General features: G+C 38.4%; 1 protein-coding gene across 8 annotated transcripts in view; it reads right to left on the reverse strand.

Moving 5' to 3' along the window:
• ARSJ (arylsulfatase family member J) overlaps positions 1 to 8491 on the reverse strand; it is a 79364-nt gene extending 70873 nt beyond the window's left edge. For 3 of the 8 annotated variants that reach the window (NM_001354210.2, NM_024590.4, XM_017008594.3), the window contains exon 1: positions 7281 to 8491. In NM_001354210.2, coding sequence (NP_001341139.1) covers positions 7281 to 7678 — 398 coding nt within the window. In that variant the 5' untranslated portion in view covers positions 7679 to 8491. Of the gene's footprint in view, positions 1 to 2555; positions 2649 to 7280 lie in introns of all 8 variants that reach the window. The other 5 variants (XM_047416157.1, XM_047416155.1, XM_047416154.1 and 2 more) reach the window with 3 other exon arrangements.
• Between the last annotated feature and the right edge of the window lie 147 nt (positions 8492 to 8638).

Raw genomic sequence — 8638 nt, forward strand, 5'->3', positions numbered from 1 at the left:
TACAAAAAAGATGAAATCAAAATTAATTTTAGAATATTGCTATAAGAAAAAACTGAATGAAACCAAACTTTGAAATAAAAAGACTTTTATACTGAGCTCATATTAAAGGCAGGGGCCCTAGGTCTTTTGGTTCTCCTATCTTTGATTTCTAAGAGTTGTCATTTGGATGACACAAGACATCGTCAGCCTTCTGCGCCTGGATAATTTCCACCTTTAAGAACAGCTATTTCGGAAACTCAATAGAATTATCTAAATAGGAATTCACTTCAATGGCTTTTTTTAAAGACTCTTTAAAATTATGGACTTTGAGCTTAAGAGTGTGCCAATAGTTTATTTGACCATAATTCTACTATCAGAAAGCCCATATGGTCAAATAGGAATTGGCAGCTCTTTGTCAAATGGTTTGACTATTGAGCCATTCTTTTTGAAATGGATGTGTGAGGTGTCAAAGCCACCCTCTCCACTTGTTATATCCATTTTCCAGAGTCAAAGTAAGGCTTGAAGAAAACTCTTGTTTTTCCTGAACTTCTAACAGTAAACATGTACATTTTTCTAAATGTTTAAGTATCAACTAAATATATATGAAAGTAATGACTGAACTCATATAACTAATGTAATTTATATTTATTGAGTCTTGTCTGGATGTAACATGCTGCTTAAAACTAGGCCTTGAATGAAAGAAGTGGATGGAAGAGGAAGCATGCATGACCATGATGTTTACAATAAGCTGATGGGAAATGAGTGTGTGTGTACACACATGCCTATCAAATGAAATAATCAAACTCTATTGCCCTAAGCTTACTTGACTCCTTCTCCTATCAGAGTGGCTGAAAGAATTCAGTTACCTTTTCAGGGTTTCCAACACTAGGACAATTATAACTTGAAAATTTAATATCTAAAATATTTGTAGTATTTTGTAAACTGGAAGACACGTTCCCCTGCCTTGACAGGCCACTACCATCCACAGAGGAGGCCTATCTGGATTCTATCTTCCTAGACCAAACTAGGCCACCAGAGCTCCCGACTGAGTGCCTGACTGTACAGTGTGGCTATAGCTGACAAGGCCCAGCTGAGGCAATTCCAGGAAGAGGCTATAATTAAAACCAGAAACTCATTACTTTCTAAGAGATGATCTGGAAAAAAAAAAAAACAAAAAAAAAAACCCCACCATGATTTTCATCCCTATTTATTTAAGTCTTTACCAAAATTTCAAACTTTCCAATATATTTGCTTTCATTCAGATTCTAATATCTATATGTCTATGTCCCTCCTCTACTCTCACTCAGTCCTTTCCCCATCCCAACTCCCTAACCCTTTCCAATATGCCCACTGTTATTTAGCAAAATCCTCCTTAAAACTTTTGTTTTCTAAGAGATGGGGTCTTGCTCTGTTACCCAGGCTAGAGTGCGGTGGCCCAATCATAACTCTTTGCAGCCTCAAATTCCTGTGCTCAAGGGATCCTCCCACCTCAGCCTCCCTAGTATCTGGGACTACAGGTGCATGCCACCACACACAGCTAATTATTTTTAATTTTTAGACACAGGGTCTCACTATGTTGTGCAGTCTGGTCTCAAAGCAAAATCCTCTTTAACTTCATCTCTTCCCTGGACAGCCCCTGTACCTTTTTGCTGTAATTAATTGCTGGCTGTCCCTGCCATATTTTCAAGTTGGGGCCGGGCTTTTACTCACATCCCAATATTCACAGAGCCTGGAGCAGGTATGGGTGCTCTCTTAGTTTCTCACTGGCACTTCTAGACAATTTTGGCTCTTGTCTCCCTTTAAAAGCTCAATGCCTTTGAAAAGTAAGGCAACAGACAATAGACTCATTATCTTTGCTGTTAGAGTCCTTCATCCAATTTCAGGCCTTTCCGGAACCTGATCCCTCATTCACAGATGATCCCAGCACTGGCTCGCTGTCGTCTTTGCTACTATTTCTCTTTTTATTCTCAGTGATTTCTCAATGGATATCCATGGGAGTGATTATTCAACACTCTGTCCTTGAAATACTTTGCCTTCCTTACTTCCAAAGATGTTTTACCCCATCTGACCTTAGCACTCATTACCATATAATTTTCAAAACCTGTACTACATAACTAAATTTTGATCCCCTGCATATACTTTCCCAATCACTATTATCTATGTTTTCAACTTTCCAAGTTTACTATGGTGTTCTCATTTCAATGACATCCAGACAGTTAATTTATTGACCTCAGCACTTTTTAAGAGAACATAAGCCCCCATAGTATTCCCCCTTTCTTTGCAAAGGGTCCATGATCCACCATGCTAATTATTTGGCAAATCTCAAAAACTAGTTAATTCCACCTCTTCAACTGTACTTCTGCACACAAGCACCAAGCAGGGTGGGAGAAAAACAAACAAAAAATGCCTGGTGTCTGTTAAAATTTATGACCACAAATCTCAAGTGGGCTCTCGTTACATCCCAGTATTTTTACTGCATTTCTTTACCCAATTCACTTTCTTACTCTCCTAGCAGATATTTTGTATCTCTCGCCCTCTCTCGTTAAACCTTCAGATCTTCCTTCTCAGCTAATTACCTGTAGGATAATTCAGAAGAGAATTACTTCAGAGTCCCAAAACCAAATCTTCCAAGCTATTTGCATCTGTACATCTATACTCTCTCTTCTTTCCTAGGAAAATTAATGAACTGGTAAAAAATATCCAAGGCAATTTTGAAGAACAAGCAGGAGGTTTTACATTCAAGATATTAATATTTATTATAAACCTATAGTAGTTAAGAGAACATAGCATTGACACAACAAATCGATAGCGAAAACAATGAGAATTGGAATGGAAAAGTGCAGAAACAGATCAAACATGTGCATTCATCTGATTTATGAAAAGGTGATGCTGCAGTGCAATGGAGACGGTATGGTCTTTTTAATAAACAGTGTGGGTCAAATGGGTATACACATGGAAAAAATAATCTTGAACTCTCATTTACACCATACTAAAAACTAATTTCAGATGAATCGTAATCTAAATACAAAAACAAAACAATAAAACTCTTAGGGATAAAAGACCATGGTCATGATCTTGGGGTAGGGAGAATCTCTTAAATAGGACATAAAAAGAAAAAGATTATAACATGGATTACAAGAAAATTAAAACCTCCCGTTAATAAAAAAAATGAAAAATCGCTAAAAAAAACCAAACACACCAAAACCACTAAAAAACATACACTAAAAAACCAAAACACTGTTGAGGAGAGTGAAGAAGCAAGCCACAGTAGGGGAAAAGAGACTTGCAATACAAATATCTAACAAAGGAATAGAATATATAACTACCACAAATTAATAAGGCAGAAACAATCATCTAAAGAGAAATTAGGCAAAATACTTGAATAAATACTTCTTTAAAGGGGATATAAAATGGGTCCATAAAAATGTGAAAAGATGCTCAACTTTATTAGTTGTCAGGAAAATGCAAATTTAAACCATAATGATGTAGCAGTGCATAATGACCAGAGTGGCTAAAATGAAAAAAGATAATACTAAATGTTGACAAAGATGTGAAACAAGTAGAACATTCCATACAGTTACTGGTGAGAGTACAAACTGGTAGAATCACTTTGGGAAACTTGAGCAGTATCTACCAAAACTGAACACAGACATCCCTTTAACCCAGGATTTCCACTTCTTGATAGATATCTAAGAGAAATGCATAACCTATGTTCACAAAAAACATATACAAGTATTTTTATGGTAGCACTGTTTATAATAACCCAACTATGAAAACAACCCAAATGTCTATTAACAGTAGAATGGGTAAATAAATTGTAATATGCTTATGCAAAGGAATACTATTCAATGATAGTGAGTATGTACAGGCAACAACATGGAAAAATTTTACAAACATAATGCTAAAAGAAACCAGACATAGAAGAGTACCCTCTCTGTAATTCCATTTGTATAAAGTTCAAAACCAGGCAAAATTAATTTAAGGTATGAGAAACTGGGAGAGTGATTATCCATGGTGAGGGATACCAGTTGGGTAGGGGGTTGTTTTAAGCACAGTGAATTTATCAAATATCCTATTAGAAATAAACATTATTTGAGTTTCCTTCACATTTGTTAACAGTGATCATCATGGTATTTCAAGTGGGATAAATGAGTAACAAAATAGTAAAAACACAAAATTACTATCAAAGATACAAATTCAATTCAGATTGTCAACCTTTCCTCCTCTAAAGTCTGCATAAAACATGTCTAGGTTTTGCAAAACTTATAATTCACTTTATGAAGCCTTCACTATATTCTCTTTTAAGAAAAAAATGATATTTTTAATCCATATCTTTATTTGCAAAACTGTAAAAAAAGAAGTGAGTAAATTACTTTGAAATAAATCAAACACAGGCAGTCACTTTCCCAATCAACCTTTTATCTCATCAGGACAACTGTGAACACCTAGAATGCTGTTTCTCAAAGCCCAGTGCATAGAATCCCTACATCACTACCCCTCTTAGAATCTGTTGCCACATCAATATAAAATGGGCATGACAAGAGCAACTATCTAAAGTTGTTGCAAGGATTAAATGAGACAATGCATATAAAATTCATTACCCCAGAACACAGTGACTGCTCAGCAGACGCTAACATTTAATACTAACAGTCTTAATTTATTTTTGATGATGTCATCATCACAATAACCTGACATGCTCATTAAATCACTATTGATTTCTAGACTCAACCCCGGACCTACCAAAGCTGAAGGGCCCTGAAATCTGCATTTTAACTAGCATTTGGACTGATTCTTTTTGCACACTACAACTTGAGAACTACTATCCAGAGATTAGGGCTCACTTCTTGTTTCTTCTTCATGGCTCCAATGCAGGGGTCTGTACACATGAACGCTTATTGACAGGCTGACTGATAATCAATATTGCCAGACTAGTATGATGTAAATTATTAAGGGAATCTGCAATTTGTTACAGATTCGTGTAGTAAAAGAAAATGGATTTTTAATTTTTGACTCCAGAAAAATATAAAGGGAGGGCTGTTTTGTTAATAGAATCAAAAGTAACTTCAGCTTCAATTATGTAAACTCTTTGTCATGTGAAGATATTTGAATCATGTCACACTTCACATAACCCATTTTATTTCCCTTAAAATAGTTTAGTTCATTTCAGTTTTTTTTTATGGCTTCCTTTTTTAATTTAGAAGATCCACAAGGCATAGACATGTGTTCATAGAGAGAACAAATGACCATATTCTCTGGGACCTGCATTATTAACTCATTTATGCCTAGTGTTCCATTATTGGAATTCTAAGCATGTGGGAGTAATTTATATACTACTGCCCAAGATCATTGCCAGGGGCTGATTGCAAAAATTCAAAACATTGCAACCTCAGGCATAAATGGGTTAATAATGAGTCCAGAACTGGGCTTCCATAACTGCTTTATTTCTTACATCTGTGTTCATTTAAATGAAGGTTCCAGCAATTTGTCTAAAAGGAGAAATTGCAAGTGAAAAAGTATTCAAATGTTTAATTCAAATAGAAATTTAAATCAAATCACAGTAGCTATTTGTACTTTTTGTCTATAAAAGTTATACAACCTGTTGCACTAAATAAAAATTTTTAATGAGAAAAGAAATCTCATCAGATGTTTGATTGCATTGAAATTACAGAGACGTTAATCTTTCACCAAAGAGAAAAATTAGGAAATATTTCCAGCTTAGTTTCTCTTTCATTTTATTAAGTAAACATAATGGTTAAAAGATAAAACCTACATATTGTTTCAGTGCAAGATAATGTTTAAGAACAAATTTTCTTGTTTGGTGAAAAGCCTTGAACATATGCTTTATTGTGAAAAATAAATTCATATAGTTCAGTTACTTATTTTCAACCACAGTTGGCTATCTGTGTAAATCTAAATTCTATAAGTTAGTTGAAGAGGTCCAGTGAGGCTTTGTGAGACATTTATTTCATGAGCCATATATAAGGGTGTTTGGAATCAGACATGAAGAACTTGACCTCTAGGCCACCAGATGGACTAGTTATTTTCCAGCCAATAATCTACTCCTTTATAAATATCAAATACCCTTGATTTTCTGATGCCACAGTTAACCTTTAAAATGACCCTGAAGTACAGTGAGACTTTTCTCATTCTCAGGAGAGGGAAGGACAATAATTTTTTTCTTTTCTGGCAATGATGCTAAGTTCTGACAGTTTGCTAAGCAGTGGAAATCATGCTGTAAGCAAAAGTCTCTGCGAGACAGAGATTCTTACAAAATAGTCTTTATTTTTCCAATGGATACTGGCTACTTTTATAGGATCCAATTCCAAGAACAACTTCACAGAAGCAAGGGTTCCCTGTCCTGCAACTGAAATCACAAGACATAGATTGAAATGGCTAAGGATTTTCTTCTACCTCTGTCCAGCTTAACCCCTGCCCTTCCTAGTTTATCTTCGTTCCACAGGCTGAATTTGTACATCCAAATCAATTACAGTAGCCTGTGTTCTGATAGGATAGAGTAAAAATATGAAAATGTTTGAACAATTTAAGTAGAAGATTTAGCTACTTAGCAAAGCAGCAACAATATGAAAAGCACTTTACTTAAGCATCCAAATAGTCTGATTTCTGTTGGTTAGTCAGAAAATTCCAGACCTGTGAAGAGCAACAGAAAACTGCAGATGAAGTTTGACTCCTCTTGAGCACTTACCATTGTATTTCCTTGCATTTTGAGAACTGCTTTGCTAATTAAATATGGCCTTCATTAGGGGGTCTCATAAGAGAAAATGACCCATCAAAGACCGAAGCAGAGTCATACATAAACTGGTCATATTTTACATTACTCTATATCTGTTTCGTTGGTTCATTTTCTCTGATAATTCTAGATTTAAGAATGCACCAAGAGTAAAAAAAATTTTTGATCTTTCTTATCAGTGATGGTGAGTGTGAATTCTAGTATGACATCTGAAACAAAATCTGAGCATGCTCAAAAGTAGAATAGATTTGAAACAGGAGACCATTTCTGGAAATCTCTGGTTTGTGGGTATTTATACGTTCTCATCTCATTTAGAAACTTATAATTGGCTCTGTAAAAAGGAAAACTAGACTACACTAGTGACTAGAAAATTAAGATCATTAACATTGTATCCATTTTAACACGGTACCCCAATACCATACATCATTCATTCATTCTTCATTCATTCAGTTGTTCCCCATACTTTCTGTTACTCCCTTAAATTTGGAGCTGGATCTTCATTAAATGCTTAAGATTTCTCCAAGGAATAAATATAAGAAGTAGGAACACTTACTTTCCAGTAATAAACTGACTCCTGGATGGTGTGCAAATAGGCTGGACATAGTAGTTCTCCAGTTTAACTCCTTCGGCAGCGAGCTTGTCAAGAGTAGGTGTTTTAATCTCAGATCCGTGGTAACCCACATCTCTAAATCCCTGATCATCCGCTAGGATGAAAATGAGATGGGGCTGGGAGGTGGAAGTTGTGCTGGGCTCTAGTTTCTCTCCAGCTTGAGCTAGTAAGGCCCCTTCTTCCTCCTCTTCTAAGGCCTGGCCCCAGGACAGGTAACCATAAGTGAGGAGGCAGAGGATCCAGAATCCTGCCAGCGCCCCCATTGCTAGCATCTTTCCAGGACAGACACAGGCCTGTGGAGAAGGCGGAGGCGGATGCCCCGCACAGCCCCTGGGAGCCATTCACTCAGGTCCCAGGTGAGACTCCACGCGGAGAACCACGCGCCCCGCGCCGCTGCGGGCGCACACATGCACCCAACAGACGGTGAAGACTCTCCACCTGGCAAGAAATCCTCCTCTCCTCTCAGCTGTCACCATGTCCGACAACTTTAATCTTCCAGAAGTGATGGCTTAATGGATGGGACTCCGGAAGAACAAGGAGGGCTCGCTCTTCTCCAGCACATTTCACTTTCTCCTCCTCCTCCCCCCTCCCTAGAGCAGCTTCCACCAAGGAAAAAAAAAAGAAAAAAGTTAATATCTCCACCCAAAAGTTCTCTGGAGAAAAAAACCAAGCAAGGAATTGAGAATCACAGTGGACAGGAACTTTTCGTGGCCAGAGCGCCCTCGACGTTGGGGAGCGAGGCTGACTCTCCTGGGAGTGCTGGTACGGAGGGCGGCGGGATCGGCCGTCTGTCCTGCGGTCCCCACACCTGGAAAGAACTGCGAAGTGGACGCGTCGCGTCTGGCTCTGATCAGACAGATAAACTGCCGTAGTGGACCGGCCTCCTGATCACCTTCTCCACTTTCCCAGGGCTATTTTCCCCAGTCCTTTCCTAGGCGTTTGCCAATCTCCCCGACACTCACCAGGCGGCGAAGTGAGGAAGAAGCCGTTTCCTGATCTCCCTCCACCTCCGCAGAAACTCCGGGCAGCAATTCCTTTTCCCCGCTGCTAGGGAGCCTGAAGGCCAAAGCCGGGTCCCTAGCCCCGCGGCCGGTCCGCGCGGAGCCCGCTTGGTCTTTGCGTAGTTGGCGCACCCGGCGCAGGCGCTGCAAACTGCGTGCGTTTTCTCAGCTAACTTATTTAGCTTTGGCACTCCGAGTTCTTTTGCCTCCTCCCTCTTTTCTCTCCAGTGAATCACAGAACGGTACTTTCTTCCTGAGCTCCCCCGGGAAGAGGGGGTGGGGGAAAAGGACTGTTTAGAG

Source organism: Homo sapiens, chromosome 4 (assembly GCF_000001405.40).
Source record: "Homo sapiens chromosome 4, GRCh38.p14 Primary Assembly".
NCBI lineage: Eukaryota > Metazoa > Chordata > Mammalia > Primates > Hominidae > Homo > Homo sapiens.